At 53.4% G+C, this 27,745-nt stretch overlaps 1 protein-coding gene across 1 annotated transcript in view, besides 2 other annotated features; it reads left to right on the forward strand.

The window, feature by feature from the left end:
• Window positions 1–20,966, forward strand: part of WNT3A (Wnt family member 3A) — a 54,274-nt gene extending 33,308 nt beyond the window's left edge. The window contains exons 3-4 of the mRNA NM_033131.4: window positions 10,351–10,616; window positions 18,681–20,966. Coding sequence (NP_149122.1) covers window positions 10,351–10,616; window positions 18,681–19,160 — 746 coding nt within the window. The 3' untranslated portion in view covers window positions 19,161–20,966. The remainder of the gene's footprint in view (window positions 1–10,350; window positions 10,617–18,680) is intronic.
• Window positions 8,659–8,865: a silencer, noted in NCBI's record as "fragment chr1:228236665-228236871 (GRCh37/hg19 assembly coordinates)". NCBI's record gives its function as "represses an EF-1alpha promoter that drives an FKBP-Casp9 reporter gene in an ReSE screen in phorbol 12-myristate 13-acetate-treated (for megakaryocytic differentiation) K562 erythroleukemia cells {active_cell/tissue: K562(+PMA)}" and the evidence as "EXISTENCE:reporter gene assay evidence [ECO:0000049][PMID:32094911]".
• Window positions 23,561–24,534: an enhancer, noted in NCBI's record as "H3K4me1 hESC enhancer chr1:228251567-228252540 (GRCh37/hg19 assembly coordinates)". NCBI's record gives its function as "activates a minimal SCP1, AML or CMV promoter by ChIP-STARR-seq in naive and primed H9 embryonic stem cells {active_cell/tissue: H9 hESC(naive and primed)}" and the evidence as "EXISTENCE:reporter gene assay evidence [ECO:0000049][PMID:30033119]".

Here is a 27,745-nt window from a genome sequence, read left to right on the forward strand (position 1 = left end):
ATCGGCTTGGACCTGCTTTTCCCACTGTCACCCCCTAACAGGGCAGCCTCCATGCTATGCTGCCTCAGCAGCTACCTTCTGAGCAAACACCTGTCCCTGCCGAAATGCTTCTTGGGTCACCTCCCCATGGTAAGGTCAGCTCTGAGAGGACAGAGGCTGCAGCCTTCTTTGCCACTTAAAAGACAGTCACTGCGTAATAAATAGTGGCAACTGAGCAACTTTAGTGAAATGTGAAAGACAAGGATTTTGGAATGATTTGGGCAAATGTTGTTCAACGTTTAAGAATTTGGAAACATGGCCGGGCGCAGTGGCTCATGCCTGTAATCTCAGCAGTTTGGGAGGCCGAGATGGGCGGATCACGAGGTCAGGAGATCGAGACCATCCTGGCTAACACGGTGAAACCCTTTCTCTACTAAAAATACAAAAAAAAATTACCTGGGCATGGTGGTGGGCACCTGTAGTCCCAGCTACTCGGGAGGCTGAGGCAGGAGAATGGCGTGAACCTGGGACGTGGAGCTTGCAGTGAGCCGAGATCGCGCCACTGCACTCCAGCCTGGGCGACAGAACGAGACTCTATCTCAAAAAAAAAAAAAAAAGAATTTGGAAACATATCCTTCCTGTTTGATGTTCAAAGGTCCTTTTCTGAAGTTATGATGGTAGATATTTTATATATATATATATATATATATAATATCTACTACATATCTATATCTATCTATCTATCTATCTATCTATCTATCTATCATCTATCTATCATCTATCTATATCTTTTCCTGTCTCAACAAAATAAAAGCACTTGGCAGTCCTCTGTTAGTCCCCAGATGCTCTCTGATACTTGAAAAGCCCATTAAATCCAAACCTAGAAACGAAGGATTTGTTAAGATCCCTCTAGTCCAAAAGTTCTGAGATGCAAGAGACAAAGGAACCATCAAAGCTCATCTCATGATTCCCTGCATCTGACAACTGCACTGCCCTCAGCTGTGATGGAGCCTTGCCTGGCAGCTCTTCTGCCTTTCCCTAAATGCCCACCTCTTACCACCTAGAACTCCCTCACCTTCTCCGACTTTATCCATCCATCCATCATCCATTCATCCATCATGCACGATCCACCATCCATCAATTCATCCATCCATCCATCCACCATCCAACATCCATCAATCTATCCATCTGTCAATCTGCCATCCATCAATCCATCATCCATCTATCCATCAATTCATCCATCCATCCATCCATCCATCCATCCATCCACCATCCATCAATTCATCATCATCCATCTATCCACCATCCCTCAATCCATCATCTATCCACCCACCCATCCATCTACCCATTATTCATCACCCTCCCATCCCAGGCCTGCCTCAGAGCTCATGTTGTCAAGCCTTGCTATGTGTCCTTGTCCTCTCTACTGCCTCCCTTGTGAACTGTAAGCTCCCAAAAGCACATGGTTTAGCACAGTCCCAGGCAAAAAACCTAACACACACACCAACAAAGCCTCCCACCAGAGATAGGGAAGGCTTCCCCTGGTTCATTCTCCTTACCAAGGCAAGGACTCTCTTCTCCTGAAAGTGGGTCATCCAACCTCTGTTTTATTATCACCAGGACAGGAACTCCTTCAACTTTCAGAAAGCCTAGGTTGTTAGAAATTGTATCATATTGAGCAGCAGTCCACTTTCTGGAGGATTTTTTTTTCTTTTGATGGAGTCTCCCTCTGTTGCCAGGCTGGAGTGCAGTGGTGTGACCTCGGCTCACTGCAACCTCCGCCTCCCGGGTTCAAGCGATTCTCCCACCTCAGCCTCTTGAGTAGCTGGCACTACAGGTGCACGCCACCATGCCCCGCTGATTTTTGTATTTTTAGTAGAGACGGGGTTTCACCATGTTGGCCAGGATGGTCTCAATCTCTTGACCTCGTCATCTGCCCACCTCAGCCTCCCAAAGTGCTGGGATTACAGCTGTGAGCCACCGCGCCCAGCCTCTGGAGGATTTTTTTTACTGTGGTTATTGAGAGTGGGCACCTTGCTTCTTATTCATCTCATATTCCTCATTCAGCCCAGTGCCTGGCTCATTAGGGACTCTCAGATCCTGGATGGATGGATGGATGATGGATGGATGGTGGGTGGTGGATAGATGGATGAATGGATGATGGGTGGATGATGGATGAATGGTGATGGATGAATGGTGATGGATGGATTAGAGATGGACAGATGATGGGCAACAGATAGGTGATGAATGTACAGATGATGAAGGGGATGATGGATGGATGATGGTTGAATGGTGGATGGGTGATGAATTGATGATGGATGCATGATGAATGGATAATGGGTGAATGGATGGATGAGTGGTGGTAGATGGTGGATGATGGGTAATGGATGGACAATGGATGGATTGTGGATGGATGGTGGATGATGGATGATAGATGTATGGATAATGTATGGATATGGATGATGAATGGATGAATGGTGGATGATGGATGATAGATGGATGATGGATAGATGTGGATGATGGATGGATGGATAATGGATGATGGATGGATGTGGATGACAGATGATGGGTGATGGGTGGATGGATAGATGGGTGGTGGATGGTGGATGATTGTACATGATGGATAGTAGATATATGGATGATGGATGGATGGATGGTGAATGGATAGATGAATTTATAAGTGGATACATGGTAGGTGGTGGTAGAGGATGTATGATAGGTAATGGATAGATGGATGGATGGATGGATGGATGGATGATGCACGATAGATGAATGGATAGATGGATAGATGTGGATGACGGATGGATGAATGAACGAAAGGAAGGAAAGATAGATAATTGATACTTTGGATGAATTCAGTAAATAACTGCTAAATGAGACCACAACAAGTTTCTGGGAAAGATGGTTTTCCCAGGTGGAAGATACTTCCCTTACAGAACAATTTTGTTATGCAGTTTCCTTTCTTCTTCCTTTCTCCAACAACTGATTGCTGTGTTAGAATAAAAGTCTTGGGCCTGAATGGGGCAGGCCTTAGGTGGCTCAAAAAGTTCAGCCAGGCTCCTTCCCAGGTGACTTGGCCAAATTGGCAGCATTTGTGTCTAAGCACCCTGCCTCCCAGTAGCCTGTGTCCCATTCCAGTGGGAACTCCGACAGTCCACTCTAATGAAGGCATTTTCCTGCTGACTGGGATGATTTCCTGGCCTTCTGGGATGGCTGGCACTTCCCACGGGCAAGATGCCTCCGTTTCACCCCCATAGCTGACTCTGTTGTGTCAACAAAAGCAGAAACCCCTGACAAAGGTGTTTGTGGTAGAGAACTTGGTTTCCGTGGAGGCTGGCTGCCAGAACTCCAGAGCCTGGACGTAAGTCCTGGCCTCAGGGGAGCCCTGAGTCAGCTCCTCTGTAAACAGAGGTGACTCTGGGCAGTGGTTCATAGCCTGCATGCTTCAAACACCTGTGGAAATCTGATCAAAGCAATGGATTCTCTCTCCAGAAAGATGCCCGTGCTCCCAGACATACCCCATCGTTTGTGCTATTTTGGGAGGGTAGTGAACCTGCTGCAGATTCCCTCTAGAACCTTGGGTGGAATCCAACCCATAGGCTCAAATCTCCTGCCGCTGTGCCTGCCACTTGGACATTCTGGGGGGTCTTCCTTCTGCATGGTTTCAGGACATTTTTTAACTTTTTATTTATTTTATTTTATTATTTTTAGATTAGAGATGAGGTCTCATTCTGCCTCCCAGGCTGGAGTACAATGGTGTGAACACGGCTCACTGCAGCCTTGAAGTCCTGGGCTCAAGCAATCCTCCTGCCTCAGCGTCCCAAGTAGCTAGGACTACAGATGCACACCACCATGCCCAGCTCATTTATGTTTGTTTGTTTTTTAAGAAAGGGGGTCTTGCTATGTTGCCCAGGTTTAACTTTTTATTTTGAAATAATTTCAGACTTTCATAAACATCGCAGGAGTGGCACTGAGAGTCCTGGGTCCCCTCGTCCAACCCAGTGGTGCATAACTATGCCAATTGTTCAAAACTAAATGTGTTCTATTCACCACACTCTGGACGTCACTCAGCTTTCCTTCGTTTTTCTATCAAGATCCCTTTTCTGTCCCAGAACCCCCTCCTGGGTCCCTTGTTACTTTTGGTGATGCCATGCCTCTGGCTTCTCCACTCTTCCCTGTCCCTCATGCCCCTGAGACCTCTGAGGAGCACAATTAGGCATTTTGCAGAACAGCCATCAATTTGGGTTGGTCTGATGTCTCCCGACAATTAGATGCAGGCTGTGCATTTTGGGTGAGAATACCTCAAAGGCTATATTTGGCCTTCATGCATCATCCCTGGAGCCACAAGGTATTGTGTGTCCCATTTCAGGCAAGGTTAACTCAGTCCCCAGAATAAGGTGGTGTCTGCCAGGCTTCTCCTGTGCACAGTTAAGGTTTTTCCCATTGTGCTTGATAAACACTGTGAGCAGTTGCGGAACCGCTTAGAGACCTTGTGGCTTCAACTTTAATGCAGGCTCTCTTTGCCAGAACATAGGGTCTCACGCTTTTCTGGCCTGTGGTCTTGCAGCCTGCAGCTTCTACTTCAGCCTCGGATGGGGGTGTCTGTCCTGGGATCTGAGCCTCTCTGCAGAGACTTCTTGTCTTCAGTCTTCACGAGTGAATTGAAGGCCTGCTCCAGGGTTTTCTCAGCCTGGCAGGGAGCTCCACCTCCACATGTGATGGAAGAGAAAATCAAGGTTCAGCCAGCTGGTGACCAAACTGAGCAAGAATGAGCTCTTTTCTGTCCAAGTGGAAGCCCTCAGCACCACCCGCCCTTGCCCTTGAGTGTGTCTGGCTATTGGGGCTGTTTGCCTGAGTTTTGATAAGCAGGGATCTCGAGGCCCTTGTTATGGGCAGGGCATGAGTGAGGCACAGAGAGCCCTAGCCTCAGGCTCTGGTTCTCCTCTTACCAGAAGCTCAGGAGCAAGAGGGAGGGGCTGGCCTTGGAGACAGACTCTTGTAGTAGCCAGGCCGTGAGGTGGGAAGGCAGACTCAGCTGGGGTGGGGTATTCAGGGTGTGGGATGCCCAGGCCATTTGGGAGTGAGAAGGTCCGGCCAGGAGGGCAGGTGGAGCTGTGTGCCATGCGTGAGCTCCAGGAGCACCCAGGACACTCCTCAACTCTACCTCTCAAGCTGCCCTAGAAGGGAAGCAGGGCAGATGGCAGGGGAAGGGGCGCTGACTAGGGAGGGGACGACCTGAGTCCTTTAAAGACAAGAACAGGCGCTCAGGCCTGGAGGCTTAGAGAGGAAGTGCTCTGCATCCAGCCACACGTGTATTCACTCAGAGGCAGTGGGTTCAGCAAAGGCCCCTCCAGGCCTGTCTGTGAACTGATCAGTTGTGTTAGGGAAGTAACATGGGGTCAGGGGTGGGGGCTTTAAGTTTCTTGGAGAGGTGCGGAGGAGGTGGCTGCCTAGCTGCTCCCTGGGAAAGGAAACAGCGGAGGTTGCATGATGGGCCTGGGTGCCTTAGAGGGGCAAGGGTGGGTCTGCTCTGGGTAGGCTCAGACCCTGCTCATTCCTTGACTCAGCCCACGGCTCCTGCCTTTCATTCTGGCCCCAGGAAATATCTATGGGCTGGGCCTTGTGCTCCAGATTGCAAATAAAAGGTGAGCCAAACAGTCCCTGCCCCTAGGCAGCCGCGGCTAGGGAGGGAGTCAGTGGGCAAATCTTCCTGGTTGGGGAGGGGCAGCCAGGTGTAGAGGACACCCGATCCCTGGCCGCTCCCCTCAGAGCAGGCAGGGGCACAGCAGGTCCAGCCTGAGCCAAGGAAGGAACCGGAAAGAGCCCGAGGGGAGGACAAAGGGCTGAGTGCGGCCTGAGGCCAGGGAGTGGCATTGAGGTCAGGAGAGGAGATAGATCCAGAGGGGGCCTGGCATGGCCAAACTGGCATTGGGCGAAGACCTCAGCCTGCAGATAGTGTGTTGCGAGGGAGAGGTGTGCATGTGTGTGCATGCATGTGTTTGCATGTGTGTGGTGCACATGTGGAGGGGTGTGTGTGTGTGTGCATCTGTGTGCATGCATGTGTTTGTGTGTGGTGGGTTGTGAATGTATATGTGCATCCGTGGGAGGTGTGCATGTGTGTGGTGTGTATGGTGTGCATGCATGCATATGTATGTGTGTGCATGTGTCTGTGTGTGCATTGCACGAGGCGTGCATGTGGGGGTTGTGTGTGCATGTATGTGTATGGTATTCATGTATGTGTATGTGTTGTGTGGTGTGTGTGTGTATTTGTGTGTGTGCATGTGCATGGGGTGGGGTGTGTATATGTGGGGTATGTGCATGCATGTGTGTGCATGTGTATGGTATGTGTGGTATGCCTGCATGGTGTGCATGTGTGGGGGGGATGTGCATGTATGTGAGTGCATGTGTATGCTGTGCTTGCATGCATGTGTATATGTGTTCATGTATGTAGTGGGGTGTGCATGTGTGCTTGTGTGTGGTGGGGTGTGCATGTGTGTGCATGCGTGTGATGTGTGCATGTGTGTGGTGTGCATGCCTATATGTGTGTGTTTGCATGTGTGTGTGCATGTGCATCAGGTGGGGTGTGCATGTGTGTGTGGTATGCATGTGTCTGTGTGCGCACGCATGTGCGCATGTGGCTGTGCATGCATGTGGTGGAAGGAGGAAGCTGGAGGCTGGGGCCTCCTAGGGGCCTCTTCATGGCGAGGTGGGAGATGGACCCACAGATAAGAACCAGGAGGGGCAAATTGGCTGAGAGGCCCCAGGGCCACCTGGGAAGGCCACAGCAGCCTGGGCGGCTGGGGCTGTTTCAGGACTGGACAGTCTCCAGCCAGCAAGCAGAGCCCTTCCTGAGCTGGTGGTGGGAAGTGGATACAGAAGAAATGGACAGTTTTCTTCTGGGCTTGTGGCTGGATGCAGTGGGTGTCCAGGCCTGACTTGGACAGGGCCCTAGGGAGGGACGGGGCTGCTGGGACCCGCCATCAGGGGGCTGTTGGCCAATCCACAGAAAAGTCAACCAAAGCAGGCCCGAGGGGCTCAGGGGGCTTTGTCAACAGCCAGGGGGATGCCAGTGCAAAGCCATAGCCTCAAATACCTTCCACTTTGTATGTTCTTGTTATGGGAGCAACGTGCGTTCTTCTGTGCTGGCTGTGTGTGGATGTGTGTTGGGCCGTGTGGGAGCGTCTGAGTGTGTGCACACTCACTCGTGCCTTTCTGTCCCAGCTGGCCTGGGCTCAAGGGCATCACGAGCCCCAGGGGCTGCTGTCTCGGTCCTCTCCTAGGCAGCCTGCAACCACATGCCTGTGTCCCTGAGTTAGGCCATTCTTGCATTGCTATAAAGAAACACTTGAGGCTGGTAATTTATAAGAAAAGATGTTTAATTGGCTCAGGGTTCTGCAGGCTGCACAGGAAGTGTGGCTCTTGCTTCTGCTTCTAGGGAGGCTAGGAAGCTTCCAATCATGGCGGAAGGCAAAGGGGGAGCAGGCATGTCATGTGGCGAGAGCAGGAGCGGGATAAAGAGTGGGGGAAGAGGTGCCACACACTTTTAAACAACCAGATCTTGCAAGAACTCACTCATAATCTCGAGGACAGCACCAAGCCATGGGACCCACCCCCCATGACCCAGTCACCTCTACCAGGCCCCACCCCAGCCCTGGAGATCACAGTTCAACATGAGATCTAGGCAGGGTTAAATATCCAGACTACATCAGCCCCATCCACCCGAGGATGAAAGCTCCCTGGATGTCCAGGTGGCAGAGGAGGTCACAGCCCCCTATGATGACTCTGTTGTGACCCTAAGGGGTCCATTGCAGGCCTCTGCCAAGGAGGAGCAGGGGACACTGTGGGACGTAGCCCTGTATCCCCGCCTTGTCCCATGGGAGGACCCTGGCTCCAGGAGAACCTCAGGCCTCCTTCTATCCCCATAGAGAGGGCCCATCGGAGCTCCCTTCTCCCTCCTGCTCTCCCAGGGCCTCGAGGGGAGAGAGAAGGTCAGAGCCAAGGAAAGGTGGAGGCTCAGGACTCTCCCACAACAGAAGCAGAGACATGGAGGAACCTGCCCCAGGGCACACCTAGCCCCCAGAGGCCAAGCCGAGGCTCAGGGGCTCCAAAGCCCAGGTGTCTTCTTGCTAGGTCTGTAAGATCCCTGCCCAGCAGCAGGTCAGGCTCTTTCCTGGTTGGCTCCCTGCTAGTTCCCCAGCTCAGACTGCAATGCTTGGCAAACAGCAGGCACTCTGTTCCTCACCTGTGTCAGAGTGTGGGTCCAAAGTGAGTGCCTGTCTCTTTTTATTTTGTTTTTTTGAGACAGGTTCTCACTCTGTTGCCCAGGCTGGAGTGCAGTGGTGTAATCATACCTCACTGCAGCCTTGAACTCCTGAACTCAAGTGATCTTCCTGCCTCAGCCTCCTGAGTAGCTGGGATTATAGGCCCCCAGCCCTGAGTGTCTTTTATCAATGGAAGCAGGGCCTGGCCAGGCCCACCCCCTCTCCTCATGCCCTTGCAGAAGTGTCTGCATACACCCACCCCCAAGACACAGCTCATTCTTTCAACCTGTCTGGGGAAGCCTGGCTGGGGTCCTGGCCTCTGCAAAGCCCACACCACCGCTCATTCCCATCCCTCTGATCCTAGCCTCCAGAGCTTTCTCCTAAATTCCAGCCCTCCCCTACCACCCTTCTGCACAAGCAATGCCACTTCCCCAACTTGGCCTCTATTTCCCCATTTGGGGAAGAAGGAAGCTGTGTACAAGGACCCAGGCAGCTCCAATGTCAGCAGCGGCAGACACCCTGCAGCCTTCCAAGCTGGAGGCAGGGGCATTTGGGGCACTGGGGCTGGCCCTGGGGAGGCGGGCACTGGAAGTCACTGGTGTTGAGAAGATTCCAGAAGAGGCAGCTGTACCGCTGAGCCATGCAAGTGTCGGTGCTTGGGGTGGAGGAAGGCAATGGCAAGTGGCACAGCAGAGGTGGGCGGTGTGTGGGGTGGAGCCACACTCTGGGGTCTGCACCCCAGGCTATCTGGGCAGCAGAAGGAATTAGCTCTTGTCTGGTTTTACCTGCCTTCGTTCAGTTGTATGATTATTTTGAGATCCTTTGTGCTATTTTTCTTGTTATTCCTAAATTAAATGCTGTTACAGACTTGCCACTGCTTTTTAACCATCCCTGTTAATGGACATTGGGGTACTTCCAGTTTGTGGCTTGTGTGAACATTTGCTTACAAGTCTTTGCACAGACACGGGTTTCCTCTGGGGCAAACCTAACGGCTGGTGGACGTTTACCCTTGAAGACACTGCCAAAGTGCCTCCCAAGGGGACTGCACCTTTCCCCTCCATCCAGCTGTGAACAAGGGTCAGGGTCTGATTTCTCCACATCCTTGCCAACACTTGCTACTCTTTGACTCTTTGATTGCAGCCATCCCCGTAGGTGTGAGGCGGCCCCTTATTGGGTTTTTTGATTTGCACATCCCCAGGATGGGTGATGTCGACCATCTTTCCAGGTGCATGCTGGCCTTCCTTGTGCCTTTTTTTTAAAGACAGGGTCTTGCTCTATCACCCATGCTGGAGTGTGACTATAGCTCACTGCAGCCTCAAACTCCTGGGCTCTAGCAATCCTCCCACCTCCGCTTCCTGAATAGCTGGGACTACATGCACACACCACTGCACCTTGCTAATTTTAACATTTTTTTGTAGAGATGGGGTCTTGCTACATTGCCAAGGCTGGTCTCAAACTCCTGGGCTCAAGCAATCCTCCCACCTCTGCCTCCCAAAGGGCTGGGATTACAGATGTAAGCCACCTTGCCAGCTGTATGTTTTTTAAGACAGGGCTGGAGTGCAGTGGTGCTATCCTGGCTCACTGCAGCCTCCACTTCCTGGGCTCAAGTGATCCTCCCGCCTCAGCCTCCCAAGTAGTTGGGGCCACATCCAGTTAATATTTTTAGTTTTTGTAGAGATGGGGTCTTGCTATGTTGAAAAGGCTGTCCTGGTCTCAAGCAGTCCTCCTACTGTGCCTCTCAAAGTGCTGGGATTACAGGCATGAGCCACTGTACTTAGCCAAAGTTGCTTGTTAAAAAGAGCCTGGTACCAACCTCCCCTCTCTCACTTCTGTCACCATGTAATTTCTTGCACACACTGGTTCCCCTTTACGCCCCCTTTCCCTTCTGCCACAAGTGGAAACAGCCTGAGGCCCTTGCCAGAGGCAGTTGCTGGAGCCATGCTTCTGTGTAGCCTGTAGATCCGTGAACCAAGTAAGCCTCTTTGCCTTATACACCACCCAACCTCACGAGTTCCTTTATAACAATGCAAATGGGCTAAGACCCCTGACCTGCCCAAGGCGGTCCTTTGAGCTGAGCCCTGTTAACCCTGCATCTCTCCTCTCTCTACAGCTACCAGGGAGTCGGCCTTTGTCCACGCCATTGCCTCAGCCGGTGTGGCCTTTGCAGTGACACGCTCATGTGCAGAAGGCACGGCCGCCATCTGTGGCTGCAGCAGCCGCCACCAGGGCTCACCAGGCAAGGGCTGGAAGTGGGGTGGCTGTAGCGAGGACATCGAGTTTGGTGGGATGGTGTCTCGGGAGTTCGCCGACGCCCGGGAGAACCGGCCAGATGCCCGCTCAGCCATGAACCGCCACAACAACGAGGCTGGGCGCCAGGTAGGTTCGCCGCCCGCAAGGGTGCTTGGGAAAAAGGAGCCTCCTCAGCAGGGTGTGTGCCCTGGTTCCTTGGGGCATATGGCCCGGTGAGGCAGGATGGTGGCCAGGCTGAGGGTCTTCTCGACCCCTGCCTGGGGTGTGCGAAGCTTAGCACCATCCAGCTACACCACAGCATCCAGTGCGCTCCTGGGGATGGCGAGCCCACCTGTGGACTGGGGTAGCCAAGAAGGAGTGATGAGGCAAAGGCCTGGTCAACAGGAGCCCCGGCAGAGCCCAGGGAGGGAGACAGCCAGGCAGCCACAGAGACGGGGAGGAATTCTGCAATGAGGAAATGCAGGCACACAAGGTGACCCGATGTCAAGGACAGCTGGCAGTAATTTAGGGGGAGGGAGGCTGGGAGAGCCTCCCAGGCAGCCTGGAGGTGAAAGACAACAAGCGACTTGGTGGGCAGAGCACAGAGTGTAATGGAACAAAGAGCATCTTGATCTGCAGAGGCCAACCCAAACCAAGCCGTGTAAAGCTTCGTGAGCCTGTGTCTTATTCTGTCTGTGCTGCTACAACAAAATACCTTAGACTGGATAATTTATAAACAATGGGAGTTTAGTACTCACAGTTCTGGAGACTGGGAAGTCCAAGGTCATGGTACTAGCAGATACCTTGTCCGGTGAGGGCCTGCTCCTCATGGATGATGCCTTCTGTGTCCTCACCCAGGGTGTGGATCGCTCTGGGGTTACTTTTATAAGGGCATTGTTTTAGGCCATTCTTGCATTGCTACCCGAGACTGGGTAATTTATGAAGAAAAGAGGTTTAATTGGCTCATGGATCTGCAGGCTGCACAAGCTTGGTAACAGCATCTGCTCAGCTTCTTGGGAGGCCTCAGGGAGATTTTACACATGGCAGAAGTGGAGTGGTAGCAGGCACGTCACATGGGCCAGAGCAGGAGCAAGGAAGACAGAGTGGGGGAGAGGTCGCCACGCACAGATCTTGTGTGAACTCACTCATTATCATGAGGACAGCACAAGCCATTCATGAGGGATCTGCCCCCATAACCCAAACACCTCCTACCAGGTCCCACGCCCAACACTGGGGATTACACTTCAACATGAAATTTGGAGGGAACACAGATCCAAACCGTATCAGGCACGAATCCCATTCACGATGCTCCACCCTCATGACTTGACTTGATCACCTTCTAAAGGCCCTACCTCTTAATGCTGTCACCTTGAGGGTAAAGATTTCTTTCTGGGGGGGTGGGGACACAGGGTCTTGCTGGATACAGTGGCACCATCTCAGCTCACTGCAGCCTCCACGTCCCGGGTTCAAGCGATTCTCCTGCCTCAGCCTTCTGAGTAGCTGGGACTATAGGCGCATGCCACCACACCTGGCTAATTTTTGTATTTTTAGTGGAGATAGGGTTTCACCATGTTGGCCAGGCTGGTCTTGAGCTTTTGGCCTCAAGTGATCCACCCACCTCGGCCTCCCAAAGTGCTGTGATTACAGGTGTGAGCCACCATGCCCAGCCGAGGGTAAAGATTTTAACCCATGAATTTTTGAGGAACACAAACATTCAGACCACAGCAGCTTGCTAGAAAGGATGTGGTCAGAAGATCAGTGGATGGCCAAGGGAGGAAAGATGGCTGATGGGCAGTGACGGGCGTAAGGACCAAGTGGCGTCCACGGGATTTAACAACATGAAGATGGCAGCTGACCTTGGCTGTAGAATCAGGGGACCACAGAGGGGTGACGAGTGAACAGGGGATATTCACCTTTTAACAGTGAGGAACTAGATAACTCAGACTAATCTTCCTGCAGAAGACAACTTCAGATGCAGGATGAACTATAAAAAGCACCCTGTTAAAAGTGTGGAGTCCCCATAATTACCCAATTCATGATAGATGAGGCAGTGCAGTGCCATGGGAGAAATGGGCTTTTCAATAAATGGTGCTCAGTCAACCGGGTGGTGCTATGGTCTGAATGTGTCTCCCAAAATTCGTATGTTGTAAGCTTGATCTCCAGTGCAACAGTCTGGAGAGGTGGGACCTAATAAGAGGTGTTTAGGTGATGAGGGCCTTGCCCTCATAAAGGGACCAATGCTGCTGTAAAAGGGCTTGCAGAAGAGGGTCTCTCTCTCTCTCTCTTTCTATTACTTTCCTGCCATATGAGGACATGATGTTCCTCCCTTCTGGAGGACATGGCATTCATTCAGGGTGCCCTCTTGGAAGCAGATAAACCAAGCCCTAACCTGTCAGCACCTTGATCTTAGATTTCCCAGCCTCCCAAACCATGAAAGAATACATTTATGAATTACTCAGTCTCAGGTGTTACGTTGTAGCAATACAGCATTGACTAAGACAGATAGCAACATGGAAAAAAAATAACCCTGGCTTGCTACCTCACACCATCTGTAAAAATCAATTACAAATCCCAGTGGGACAGGTAAAACAATAAAACTTTTACAAGAAAATATAGAATATCTTTGTGACCTTAGAGTAGGCAAAGGTGTCTTAAACAGTCCAAAAAAGCACTCACATTGAAAGAGAAGTGGAATAACATAGACTATATTCAAATTAAGAACTTTCATCCATAAAAAGACACCACTATGGGACTGAAAAGGCAACCCATAGAGGACACATTCACATACATACATCCACACTCACATATGCAGCAAATGTAGAGAAGCTACAGTAGGAAAAGAACTCTGCAGACTAAGAAAAAAAAGATAGACAAACCAATGGGAAAATTGGCCAAAAAATTAAAAGCCATGTTATGAAAGAAAATATAGAAATTCCACTACCTATACAAAAGGTGCTCAATGTTATGAGTCATCAAGAAAATGCTGTGAGAACCTATGTCCTGGAAAGAGAGAGGAGGATGGGGGTGTCTGAGACACTGGTGTTCTGGGGCAGGTAATTTGTAAAATTTTGTATATTTTGCACTTATGACACATATATATTTTTGTATGTCTATTATACTTCCATAAAATGATTTTTAAGTGTCAAATAACTGACCATCTAGTGAGGAATTAGCAGCCCCTGATCCAAGAGAAGATCCCAAGTCTGGTACCTGGGGTAGCTTTTGTCTAGGGGCCATTTGCTGACCTGGAAGAGACTACAGAGGTTGCACTGCATTTCCAGCAGACTCACAGAGCTAAGGGGCCCACCAAGGGTGCCATCTCTGGTAAATCCTTCCTCAGTGTAGGCTGTGACCCTGAAGAGCAAAGCCAAGCCAGAAGTAGTCTTGTCCTGTTCACATGGGCAGACTAGAAATCTCTCAAAACCTGAACTTGGATTAAGGTAATCCCAAATTGCTGGTACTCCCATACACCTGGAAAAAGCAGACAAAATCCTCTTTGGAGAAGGATGATATCCCTCCTCTAAGCCTATAAATGTTTCTATAATAATTTTTTAGAAAACACAATGTTGGCTGGGCGTGGTGGCTCACACCTATAATCCCAGCACTTTGGGAGGCCGAGGTGGGCGGATCGTGAGGTCAGGAGATTGAAACCATCCTGGCTAACATGGTGAAACCCGGTCTCTACTAAAAAATAACAAAAAAAATTAGCCAGGCGTGGTGGCAGGTGCCTGTAGTCCCAGCTACTTGGGAGGCCGAGGCAGGAGAATGGCGTGAACCCAGGAGGCGGAGCTTGCAGTGAGCCAAGATCGCACCACTGCACTCCAGCCTGGGCGACAGAGTGAGACTCTGTCTCAAAAAAAAAAAAAAAAAAAGAAAACACAATGTCCAGCACACAATCAAAGATAATCTATCACATGATCTGATGACACAGTGAGTTAAACCAGAAAAAAAAAAAAAAACACAAGTACACAGGGAATTCAGACAATGGAATTATTAGACACAGACTTTGAGGGGAAAAATGCTTACTTAGGTTCACAAAGCTAAAACACAAGTGTGAACATTGCATCAGGAAACTAGAAACTATAAAAATTATATAATAGGCTGGGCACGGTGGCTCGCACCTGTGATCCCAGCACTTTGGGAGGCCGAGGCGAGTTCGAGACTAGCCTGACCAACATGGAGAATTCCCGTCTCTACTAAAAATACAAAATTAGCCGGGCGTGGTAGTGCACGCCTGTAATCCCAGCTACTTGGGAGGCTGAGCCAGGAGAATCACTTGAATCCAGGAGGCGGAGGTTGTGGTGAGCTGAGAGTGCACCATTACACTCCAGCCTGGGCAGTTTTTTTTTTGGAAACTGGGAGTTTTTTTTGGAAACTCCGTCCCAAAAAAAAAAAAAAAAAAAAAATATATATATATATATATATATATATATATATATATATATACACACACACAATAGATTTGGAAAATAATTACACAGAAATTGCAGAACTGAAGAACAAATAAGGACTTCCAGTTAAAGATGAGAAGCTGAACACTTCCGTCTGCACTCTCCTGGAACCCACTAAAATAACAATAAATTAATTTTAAAATAAATAGATATGTAGAGATAAATATAAATAAAATATAAATAGATACAGGTAGGGACAGGTAATAGTAGATATAGATGATAGATATAAATGGATATAAATAGTGCATAGAGATTATACATAGATATAGATGCTAATACAGATAGGATGGATGGATAAATAGATTAGATAGATGGATGAATAGATAGAGATGGATACTCATGAGAATACAGAAAATAAAGAGGAAACAATGGTAACAAAACTTTGAAAGCTAAAAGCAGATAGATGAATACTCAAGCAGACTCAAGAAAACTGAGTCTTAAGCCAGTAGAGAAGAAATTTGAGAACCAGTCTAGGAATTCCTAGTGTCTGATATCTTGAGAAGTTGAGATAAATATGGGGCTGAAAACAGGAAGATTGGTTGAAAGATGACTTTCAGGGTACTTTATAGCCCACTCACTCCACTACCCAACTCTTTGTAGCCAGGCAGCAGCCTCTCCTTTCCCTGTTGCTGAAGCCTGGAGGTTTGTTTTCTGCAAAGCACAGGTCTCTGATCTGAGGGACGCCAAGCACATCTCAGAGTGAACCTTCCAAAGTGAAAATTTTCTCTCTACATATGGAAGTTCATGCCTTTCTCTCTCCTCCTGATTTCCTAATGCTAGCTGTGAACCCTAGTTATCCTCCAGGCAAGAGGATGGAAGATTCTGCTCTGGGGACTCTGACCAACTCAAAAGAGGAGACTTCAAGACAGTTACCTGTGGAAGGTCCCAATAAAGTGATGCAGCTAGATCACTCTATAGAGAGGACCAAAGTTGACAAGTCTCTCCCATGTACAGGAACTTCCAATAAGATTTTTAGTGTCCCATTTTTAAATACGAGCAGACAGCCAAGGATCATCAGACCTCTGAGGAAGGACTCTAACAACAATAATGGCAAAGTCCAAAACAAACAAACTCAAACAAAATTTATGGGAAAGAGACATTGTAAAGAGAGATGAAACTTCGAAAGATGATCATTAATATCCCCAAAAGATAAAACACTATATCCATGAAATTGGAACAGGATGGTAATTTTAAACATTCAGGTTACAAAAGAGCTCTTAGAAATTAAAAATATGATAACAGAAGCAAAATCCTCAAATTGAAAGATAGTTGAGATACCCTCCCACAAGACAGAAAGAAAAAAAAGACAAAGAGATTAAAAATAAGAGCAAGGAGAAGATTTGGAGGATCTGTCCAAGAAAGACAATGACAAACAAAAAGAGGAGGCAGTCAGCAAAGAAACAAGGCAGGAAGCTTCCTCAGAACTGTGGAGCACAGGTTGCAGACCAAACAGGCCACTAAGTGACGAGAACAACAGAAGAAAAAGATCTACTTCAAGACACACTGCTGTGAAGCTCAGAGCCTACTGCACAGAACAGCCCTCCAAGCTGCCAAGGAGAATGTTTGGGCTTCAGGATCAGGAATCAAAATAGTACCAGACTTTTCGGGAGCAATAATGAAAGCTAGAAGAAAACAGTAATAATACTTTTTGAACTCCAAGATGTAAAAATGATTTTAAGCCAAGAATTCACTTCCCAGCAAAACTATCAATTAAATGAGATAGTAGAAAAGATTGTTTTTAGACATGGACATTTCAAAAAATTTACAAGGCCTTTTCTGGGAAAAAAAAATCTGCAAGAAAATGAAATTGATAGAATAGCTGATGTGTTTGGACATCTTGAAGAGAATATGTAGATAAGTAAGGGAGAATTTGAGGCTGAATCAGTTACAGGTACATGGATAACACCAACTACAAAAAGTCATTTAGGAAAAGAAAAGTCATCATAATATATGACACTTAAAGTAGTCCCAATACCACCAGCAGTGAATATTGATGTGAAATTAAGCTAGTTTTTAGGGCAGGAGGGGTTGGTGCTTGGGAAGTGTGCATCAGTGTGGTGGAGTAAGGAGAGAAAACTAACTGCCACCCACCATGGCTAGAGGCCAATAAATAATGCCTAATGCTGAAAAATCAAGAGGTGTCAAGACAAGTGTGTTAACAGAGTTGTAGACATTGCAAGGGGCTGCATGTAGGACCAGAATTCCTGTTTATCTAAACAGGTCTTGGAAACTGTTGGACTCTTCCAAGTAAGCACCTATATAACTTTGATCCAATATAAAACTAAAACAAAAGAGGAAATAAAATGGATATTAGATAAACTAGACTGGGCAGGGCGAGGGATATGTTACTCTACAGATGCCCATAGGAAACAGTCAATATCAGAGGGAGGAGTTCAAGAAAGAGCCAGAAGGGGACGAGGAGGAGGCAGGATTGGGACCCAGAGCCCAGTTGAAGCCTTAGATTAGAACTGTCCAATAGAAATAGAATGGGAGCCACAAATGGCTCATAGATTATTATAATTTGTCCCACAAATGACACAAAGATCATTATAAATTTTCTAGTAGCCACATTTAAAGAGTAAACAGGTAAAACAAGTTTTTTTGGTTTTGATTTGGTTTGGTTTGGTTTGAGACAGACTCTCGCCCTGTAGCCCAGGCTGGATGGAGTGCAGTGGCGCAATCTCCGCTCACTGCTGCCTCCCCCTCCTGGCTCAAGCAATTCTGCCTCTGCCTCCCAAGTAGCTGGGATCACAGGTTCCCGCCACCACGCCTAATTTTTGTATTTTTAATAGACACGTGGCTTTGCCTCAAGTGAGCCACCCGCCTTGGCCTCCCAAAGTGCTGGGATTACAGGCATGAGCCACCATGCCCGGCCAGAAACAAATTTTAATACCAAATTTGATTTAACTCAGGATAGCCAACATGCTATCATTTCAATAATGTAGTCAGTATTAAAATTATGAATGAGCTGTTTCTCATCCTTTTCTTACACTAAGTCTTGGGAATCCAGCATGCAGTTGGCACGTATAGCATTTCTGAATTCACACTGCCATGCCTCATGGGCTCCTGTCTGTCCAGTGGCTGCCACAGTGCAGTGCCACCTAGACTGTTCTGATGTTCACATGCCCCTTCACGCTCACCCCTACCCCTTCCCCAAAGAAAGAAGGGAAAAGAAGCTGAGTTCTACACTGCCCATAGGGGAAACCGTTCGCTCCTCAGCGAGGTCCTGCCCGGTCCCCCAACAGCCTTATGTCCCAACATTGCCTTCCTCTTCCTCTGCAGTCCCCATACAGTGACCAGCTTCCTGGGCCACTCTCTTTACTCATGCTCAGGACTCGTGCCTTTCCACCCAGCCGTATACACCTCTGGGCAGCGTGCCTGAGTCCTCAGGGTCAGAAGGAACGCCTATCCCCCTGCATCCCTGCACTCTGACTGCTGTGGCTCTTCGTGTATGGCATCCCACGCTGCAGCTCTGTCCTTCATTCGCTCCACCCTAGACAGTGTAGAAGTACTCAGCTAGGAGACGGGAAGAGGGGAGCCCCCCAAGCCCTGACCTGGGAAGGCTTGGGTCTGGCAAGGGAGCAGGCACCAGTATCTGCACCATAGGAAGGGGGTGGCCCTGGGGCCCTGCCTGGGAGTCTGCCCCCTCTGCCCGGGGGCTTTATGGAGCAGGTAGGCTGCAGGCGACATGTAATGCTGTTTCCTCGGGGAGACGCACCAGGGGGCCGCCCTGACGCTGGCTCCTGCGCGTGCCCCGCAGGCCATCGCCAGCCACATGCACCTCAAGTGCAAGTGCCACGGGCTGTCGGGCAGCTGCGAGGTGAAGACATGCTGGTGGTCGCAACCCGACTTCCGCGCCATCGGTGACTTCCTCAAGGACAAGTACGACAGCGCCTCGGAGATGGTGGTGGAGAAGCACCGGGAGTCCCGCGGCTGGGTGGAGACCCTGCGGCCGCGCTACACCTACTTCAAGGTGCCCACGGAGCGCGACCTGGTCTACTACGAGGCCTCGCCCAACTTCTGCGAGCCCAACCCTGAGACGGGCTCCTTCGGCACGCGCGACCGCACCTGCAACGTCAGCTCGCACGGCATCGACGGCTGCGACCTGCTGTGCTGCGGCCGCGGCCACAACGCGCGAGCGGAGCGGCGCCGGGAGAAGTGCCGCTGCGTGTTCCACTGGTGCTGCTACGTCAGCTGCCAGGAGTGCACGCGCGTCTACGACGTGCACACCTGCAAGTAGGCACCGGCCGCGGCTCCCCCTGGACGGGGCGGGCCCTGCCTGAGGGTGGGCTTTTCCCTGGGTGGAGCAGGACTCCCACCTAAACGGGGCAGTACTCCTCCCTGGGGGCGGGACTCCTCCCTGGGGGTGGGGCTCCTACCTGGGGGCAGAACTCCTACCTGAAGGCAGGGCTCCTCCCTGGAGCTAGTGTCTCCTCTCTGGTGGCTGGGCTGCTCCTGAATGAGGCGGAGCTCCAGGATGGGGAGGGGCTCTGCGTTGGCTTCTCCCTGGGGACGGGGCTCCCCTGGACAGAGGCGGGGCTACAGATTGGGCGGGGCTTCTCTTGGGTGGGACAGGGCTTCTCCTGCGGGGGCGAGGCCCCTCCCAGTAAGGGCGTGGCTCTGGGTGGGCGGGGCACTAGGTAGGCTTCTACCTGCAGGCGGGGCTCCTCCTGAAGGAGGCGGGGCTCTAGGATGGGGCACGGCTCTGGGGTAGGCTGCTCCCTGAGGGCGGAGCGCCTCCTTAGGAGTGGGGTTTTATGGTGGATGAGGCTTCTTCCTGGATGGGGCAGAGCTTCTCCTGACCAGGGCAAGGCCCCTTCCACGGGGGCTGTGGCTCTGGGTGGGCGTGGCCTGCATAGGCTCCTTCCTGTGGGTGGGGCTTCTCTGGGACCAGGCTCCAATGGGGCGGGGCTTCTCTCCGCGGGTGGGACTCTTCCCTGGGAACCGCCCTCCTGATTAAGGCGTGGCTTCTGCAGGAATCCCGGCTCCAGAGCAGGAAATTCAGCCCACCAGCCACCTCATCCCCAACCCCCTGTAAGGTTCCATCCACCCCTGCGTCGAGCTGGGAAGGTTCCATGAAGCGAGTCGGGTCCCCAACCCGTGCCCCTGGGATCCGAGGGCCCCTCTCCAAGCGCCTGGCTTTGGAATGCTCCAGGCGCGCCGACGCCTGTGCCACCCCTTCCTCAGCCTGGGGTTTGACCACCCACCTGACCAGGGGCCCTACCTGGGGAAAGCCTGAAGGGCCTCCCAGCCCCCAACCCCAAGACCAAGCTTAGTCCTGGGAGAGGACAGGGACTTCGCAGAGGCAAGCGACCGAGGCCCTCCCAAAGAGGCCCGCCCTGCCCGGGCTCCCACACCGTCAGGTACTCCTGCCAGGGAACTGGCCTGCTGCGCCCCAGGCCCCGCCCGTCTCTGCTCTGCTCAGCTGCGCCCCCTTCTTTGCAGCTGCCCAGCCCCTCCTCCCTGCCCTCGGGTCTCCCCACCTGCACTCCATCCAGCTACAGGAGAGATAGAAGCCTCTCGTCCCGTCCCTCCCTTTCCTCCGCCTGTCCACAGCCCCTTAAGGGAAAGGTAGGAAGAGAGGTCCAGCCCCCCAGGCTGCCCAGAGCTGCTGGTCTCATTTGGGGGCGTTCGGGAGGTTTGGGGGGCATCAACCCCCCGACTGTGCTGCTCGCGAAGGTCCCACAGCCCTGAGATGGGCCGGCCCCCTTCCTGGCCCCTCATGGCGGGACTGGAGAAATGGTCCGCTTTCCTGGAGCCAATGGCCCGGCCCCTCCTGACTCATCCGCCTGGCCCGGGAATGAATGGGGAGGCCGCTGAACCCACCCGGCCCATATCCCTGGTTGCCTCATGGCCAGCGCCCCTCAGCCTCTGCCACTGTGAACCGGCTCCCACCCTCAAGGTGCGGGGAGAAGAAGCGGCCAGGCGGGGCGCCCCAAGAGCCCAAAAGAGGGCACACCGCCATCCTCTGCCTCAAATTCTGCGTTTTTGGTTTTAATGTTATATCTGATGCTGCTATATCCACTGTCCAACGGAGTTAGACGAATAGATGTGTTGTGTTTTTTTTCCCTTTTCTTTCTATGAAAGAAATTGTTTTAGTCATAGCTTGTGGGTTTCAAACAATGGGAAAAGTGAAAAAAGAGAAACAAGCCATCAAGGCTGTGGTCTGGGCTGGATGTTTGGTGGTGGGTCAGCACGGTGTTGAAAGAGTAGAGAAGATGCCCACTCAGGGGCTCAGGGCCTGGGTCCGGGGGCAGGGGGATGCCCCAGGGCCGTGATGGGCAGGGGACCTCCAGAGCTGGAATTCCATGGGGAAGGAATAAGGATAGCCAAGCTGAGGAAATGAGGGAACGGCCACTGGCACCAAGGCCTGGAGCAGAGTAGAGCCTCTGACAGGGAGAGAGCAGCAGGCACCTGGAGGCCCCAGGTAGGCAGCCCTAAGGTAAGGGGGTTGGCCGAGCCCCCAACAAGTCAGTAGAGCAGCAAGACGCCCACCACCTCCCCTCCCGCAGAGCCTGTACTCACTCAGCTGATACCTTAGCACCAGCTATGGATGTGCCCCCTCTCTAGGTTTGGGGACAGTGGCCTGGTGGTATAGGATCAGCTGGATCCCAGCAGGACCTTGGGATGGGACTGGCCATCAGGAGTTCCTCTGGGATCCTCACCTCGTGGGGCTGTGCACAGGGGTGCCCCCTGTGCGAGCCCCCATCTCCTTTCCCCAGCCAAGGAAGGCAGGGAGAGCCCCTGGAACAGGTGAGCCATCCTGCCGACAGGAGCCCTCATGAGGCCTTACTAGGGGTGCTGGGTGTGCCTCTGGAAACAGGCAGCAGGAGCCCAAGGGCTGTCTCAAGGCCATGCCTTCCCCGTCCCAGCCCCACCAAGGATCTCTGCTCCACTCTCTGCCCTCCCATGCCTGTCCAGTCCCCATGCCCATCTCTGGGCCCTGACTGGATGCTCAGCCAGACCTTCAGGGCAGTGAATGCCAAGGGAAGAAGCTATGGAGATGGGGCAGCCAGGAGCAGCCAGTGTACCTGCCTGCAGGCCGGGCCCAACACAGCCACCATACTCAAGCCATGTGCACGCCGGCGGGGAGCCAGGCCTTCATAGAACAGGAATGGCTGGCCATCCCCCAGTGTGCCCCATGGTAGGAAGGGGGGTCAAGGCAGCCCCAGGAGTGGGGTGGGTGCACCAGCGTCCTAGGCATGGAGGTCATGGGAACACAATCCCCAGGCCTCAAGAGCCAGAGAAGGGCCAGCCCCAGGCAGGAGCATAACCCCTCCAGGAACAGTGTCCCCTGACCCTGCCACGCACCTGCTGTCCTGGACCCTGAGGGCACAGGCCCAGGGCATGCAGCTAAGGCTGGGCAGAGGGGCCTGAGGGACTGCTGACCTCCCTCCCCACACCCTCACCCCAAGGTGCCCTCACGGCTGCCCAGCAGGACACCCTCTCTAGGCCACACTGGGCCTGGCCACCCTCTCTGGGCACCATTTTCAAGCTAGAGCCCTTGCTCCTGACCTTTGTGACGGGTCCACTAGAAGCCTGGCCTTCCCAAACCCCCCACCTGCCCCTCACTATCCACTTCCTAGGTCCCCCTGGTCCTGTGCCTCATCCACCTCCCTAAGGCTACAGATCCAGCCCGGCCCCCACCAGAGCCCTGCTCCTCCCCACCCCAGGTCAGGTCTTTCCACCCCACTCACTGCCCAGGGCCTCCTCACAGTGCTGGCATAGTGAAGCCTCACAGCACCCACGGAGCAAGAGAGCATACCGCCCTCTACCATACCCTGCTGGCTGCACAGGGCTTCTGCCCAGGTCTGGCTGCTGCCCAACCCCTGCCTGCAGCAGCCTTGCAGAACCTCATGAAGCAGAGGCTCCCACCCGAGGACAGTCAAGGAGGCCAGGCCCAGGAGGGGATGAGGGCTGAAGTGTGGCTGCTGGGGTGGTTGTAGGGAGGGAGTGTTTCTCCAGAGCCACCAGCCATGGGAGCACAGAGCTACCCAGGGCCTGTCAGGGCCAAGGGAGAAGGGACCCGGTCCAGGACTCTGGAGGTCAGGCACCCCTCTCCTTTGCCTCCCAAAACTGTGCCTCAGCTTCCATGCACCCCCAAGGTCTGGTGGGCACCCCAATATCACTCCCAGCCATGGCCTCATTGGCTGGGGCCGTGACACCCATCCCAGGTGGGTCACCCACTGCTCCAGGGCAGCCCTGACCCTCCATAGGCAGGGCCACTGGAATTCCCGGGGGGCACCAAGGGCAGCTGTGCTACCGTCTACAAAGAGGGAGCCAGTGACTAAGGGCATAGGACCCCTGTGGTGCATCACCAGTGGGGGGACCCCAAGCCCGCTCAACCCGCCAGGCCTTCCTGAGCAATAGCCATAAAGGGTCAGTCCTTGGGGGAGGGCAGTGCCCCACAGGAGCCCCTGGTCAGCCCCAGCCCATGGGCACAGTGCCTCTTAGTCGGGACCCAGGTCACAGCCACCCTAATTAGCACCTACTGGGCCCCAGTGCCAGGGGCATTGCAGATGACAGACACTGACCCAGCCGGGAGGCGGCTGGGCAGGCAGAGGGCACGAGATCATGGGCATGGCTGCCAGGTTGCAGGGACCTGAGCAGTCAGCATAGGCCGGGGCAAGAGCCCACACCCAGATCCAGGCCAGGGCCAACTCGGGGCTCAAAGCTGAGGTAGGCCCCAGAGAGATCCCCAGCACCCAGGCTCTATCTCCGCTGCTGGGGCCCAGAGAGGAGATGGTGCTGGCCTGAGGACACACAGTCTGCTGGAGACCCAGGGGGCCATCTGGGTGGAGAGCCGAAGGTCCCCTTGCAGGCCAGGTGTGAAGGACCACTGTGAAGATGGTCTCAGCTGTCCCCATCCCCACTGTGGCCCTAGCACAGACAGAGGGTGACCCCACAAGAGGTTCTGGATGTGTTTCTGAGGAATGGGGGTCGGCTGGTCTGCAGCCCCTGGGGCCATAGGACACACCCCAGTTTATAGGCAATGGGGGCTGGGAGGTGAAACGCTCAACTCACCCTGTGTAGGAGCAAGGCCCACTCCTGCCTGGGCCTCAGTTTCTTTTCTATGTAAAAGGCAGTGAGCCAAGGGAGGTCTTCCCTCCCACGGGCCTGCTGGCTTGGGCTGCTGCACCTGGTGCATGGCCTCCCTCACCTGCCAAGGGCAGGCATCACCCCGGGAGCCCCAGCCCCCAACCCCCCCGGAGCCTGCAGGCCTCCAAGTCAGTCTCAGAAGCCACCCCCCAGGGCGTTTATAGCCCATCCTGCCCACCCGCCCTGCAGAGGGAGGAAATGCGCCTGGTGGGCCTGTTCGCAGGTAGTTGAGACAGGACAGGAATAACCATATAAAAGGCCCGGAGGTAGTGGGGCCCCACCCCACCAGGGCTCCCCTGCCCAGCCCCCTGCACATCTCACCCTCCATGCTTTGAAGTCCTGGAGGGGTGTGGCCAGCCCCCAACTTGGGCACTCCTCCTCTCTCTGACACTCCCCTCCTGACACCTACTTTCAGGATCCTGGGGCCTCAGTTTCCTCCCTTCAAGGAGGATCCTGGAGGCTGCCAGCCTGGCCTCCCCAGGACGCTGGGACCGCAGCAGGCAGGTGCAAGGCCAGCTCCAGGTCCCCATGCCCGACATGGGGTGGGGGTGAGGCCCTACTTACTGACTGCCCAGTGCCCGTCCCCAGTGCTGAGCCTGGGCTTGGTGTGCCCCGGGGCCCTGCCAGCCCTGGCCCTTGCCCCTGCTCCATCATGGGTCCTCTCTGGACCATGCTGGGTCGGTGGGGGCCTGAGAGGCTCATCAGTGGAGACGGCCCCTCCCCTCTCAACCGGGTTCCACACCCAGCCTAACTCCCCTAGTGTGGGCCTGGCGTCACCATCCTCCAGTGGGTGGGAGAGGAGAGGGCAGAGGGCAGGACCCCTGACCAAGCTCTGGGCCTGTCAGCTCCCAGGGGCACAGCTGCTGCCCCAGGAGTTGACACAGCCCAAAAGATGACCTTGGCTCAGGGGGTCCTCGGCCTGTCCAAGGTTGGAATGTGGTCTGTCACGGCCTCCAGGGAACTCCAGGACACAGGCTGAGCAGCCAGGAATGAATTCAGGGCTTCCCCGCAGTCCCTTGGGCTATCCTCAAGAAGGAACATTCTAGAAGCTTCTTGTTGGGGGAAGGCGAGGCCTGGGGAAAGATGCCCCTGAAGAGGAAGAGAAGCTGGGACTTGGGGGTCCCACACCCCAGTCCTTGGAGGGGGTCCTCCAAGGACCAGGGCATTGCAGAGATGATGTCAGGCCCAGCTTGCCGTCCAGGCCTCAATACGCCTGTTTGTGTATGGGGTGGAGTGTCTGAGACGTCGTCAGACATCAGCCACTCCTAAGCCCTAGCAAGGCTGCCCTGGCCACAGGTCCCCCGATAAGGTGACCCTGTAACTTCATTCCCTGGAGCCTTCCTCCAGCCTGGCCCTCCCCGATGTTTCAGCCGGATGGATACCTCCGCCCTTTCCCCTGCAGATAGCCTCTCACCAGGAATTACAATCAGGGCCATGCACTCAGAGCCTGGCATCATCAGAGTGGGGGACCCAGGTCCCCGAGCCCAGGGCGGGGCTTGGTGGGTGGACTGTCCATCCTGCACTGAAGCCTGGAGTGACAAGCCATGAGAGAAAGTCCACGGGGAGAACCAGAGGGGGACTCCTGGGATGCGGAGCCAGCCTCTGCCCTCTGCCAGGCTCTGTCCTGAGACCCTGCCCTTCCATCTGTAGGCCCTGCCATTCCTGGGCTACTGGCAGAGAGGGTAGAAGACGTTGGAGCACCCTGGGCTGCGGGCCCAGGTAAAACAAGTACAGACCCTGAGCCTGGACTGAGCTGAGGATGTGCCCCATCCTGGAATATAAGAAGACACGGCCCTGCCCTGGGGTCTGGGAGACACAGCCTCAACCTGGGTCCTGGGGGAAGCAGTCCCACCCTGGGGTCCAGCTGTCGACCTGGGATGAGCCCTAGTTCCCTCTGCCCTACAGTGGCACCACCGCCCCCCACAGGCCCCACCCCCTCCCCTGGACAGCTCAGCCCTCTTTCCCAGTCTCCTCCCCTCATGGATCCCCCTTTCTGCCTCTGAACCCCTAGGGATGGATGCCTCAGGACAGGGCACTCAGGTCCCTGTCGGAGTCTTGCTTGGATCTGGAGCCCTGGATCCCAGGGGCATGACCTCCTGGAGCAACTTCCAAGGTCTGGGGGACTAGGTCAGTGTTCCTCCCTGCAGAACTGGACTGCTGTCAGTGGCTGCCTTCGGGATCATCTGGGAGGGCTTCCAGGAGGAGGTGAGCATGGGGACACTTCCTAGGGCTCCAACATCCTCCTGTAATTCTGAGATTGCATCCCTGCAGACGCCAGGAAAAAAGTGGGTTCCCATGGCAGCCGGGGAGCCCTCAGAAGGGGCCCCACTGAAGCCTGGGAGCCACCACCCGCCTGCCTGGCCAGGATGGGAGCTCAGCAGAAGGTGCTAATTGCTGTTTAGCTCCAAGCTGACTCCTTGCTCTCTTTTTGTCTCTCTCTCTCTCTCTCTTTTTTTTTTTTACTTGAGCCTCTAGAGCACACAGTAAACAGTCATTTGGCTCTTGGGGCCCTGCAAATTGGTGTTTATGGTGCGAAGATGAGGAGGATTTGTCCACCCAAACACAGGCTGGCTGGGAGGGAGGAAGCAGGGGTGGGACATCCCATCCAGGCCCAGCTCGGGGAAGCCTCCTTCAGACTGAGGAGCTGTGGTCTCACAAGCAGGGGACTGTGATTAACCCAGGAGAGCTTCTAGGAAGAGGTGAGGCATCCGCGGCAAAAAGACCTCCTCCAGGGGAAGCTGCAAAGGCTCCACCATACCCTCAGGTGCCCATGGGGAGCCCTGCCCTCCAGACCCAGCTGGGATCAGAGCTTCTTGGCTGGGTCACAGCCTGGGTCTCCTTCCAACAGCACACCTCACCTGCCCACCCAGCAGCCAGCTGCAGAATTACAAACTGGAATGCCAAGGCCCGGTCTCCTGGCAGGAGCAGGAAACACAGAAGTCCAGGCGCAGGCATATGGGCTGGATGTGTGGCTGGGAAAAGTGGATTTCCCCAGGTATCTCCCCCTCGTTCACGAACCTGAGGTGGGCAGACTATGCCCCAGAGCCAGTGCCCGGGCTCCTGTCTTCTTCTGCTGCCCAAACTCACCCCACCATGGCAGAAGGCCAAGAGGCCAGACTGGCATTGCCCTCTCCCCACTCCATCCAAGGTCTGGCATGAGGCACCGGCCCTGCAGTGCCACTCCTCAATGGAGCAGGCAGCCTGCAGCACCAACACCAAAGGCTGGGGAGGACATGGGATGCTGGACATGGGAACCATCAGGAGTGTGCAGGAGGGGCAGTGTTGGCGGGTAGTGTAGACCAGAATGTACAGGGCATGTAGAAGAATGGATAGTGTAGACAGGGTAGTGCAGAGGAATAGCACAGGTGGGATAGTGTAGGGGGATAGTGTGGGGGGATAATGTAGGGTGTATAGTGTAGAGGGATAGTGTAGGGGGATAGTGTGGGGGGATAATGTAGGGGGTATAGTGTAGAGGGATCGTGTAGGGGGAATAGCGTAGGGGGGATAGTGTAGAGGGATAGTGTAGGGGATAGTGTATGGGGATAGTGTAAGGAGGATAGCATGGGGGATAGTGTAGAGGGATAGTGTAGGGGGCATAGCGTAGGGGAATACTGTAGGGGATAGCACGGGGGATAGTGTAGAGGGATAGTGTAGGGGGAATAGCATAGGGGGATAGTGTAGAGGGATAGTGTAGGGGGAATAGAGTAGGGGAATACTGTAGGGGAT

Source organism: Homo sapiens, chromosome 1, assembly GCF_000001405.40.
Source record: "Homo sapiens chromosome 1, GRCh38.p14 Primary Assembly".
NCBI lineage: Eukaryota > Metazoa > Chordata > Mammalia > Primates > Hominidae > Homo > Homo sapiens.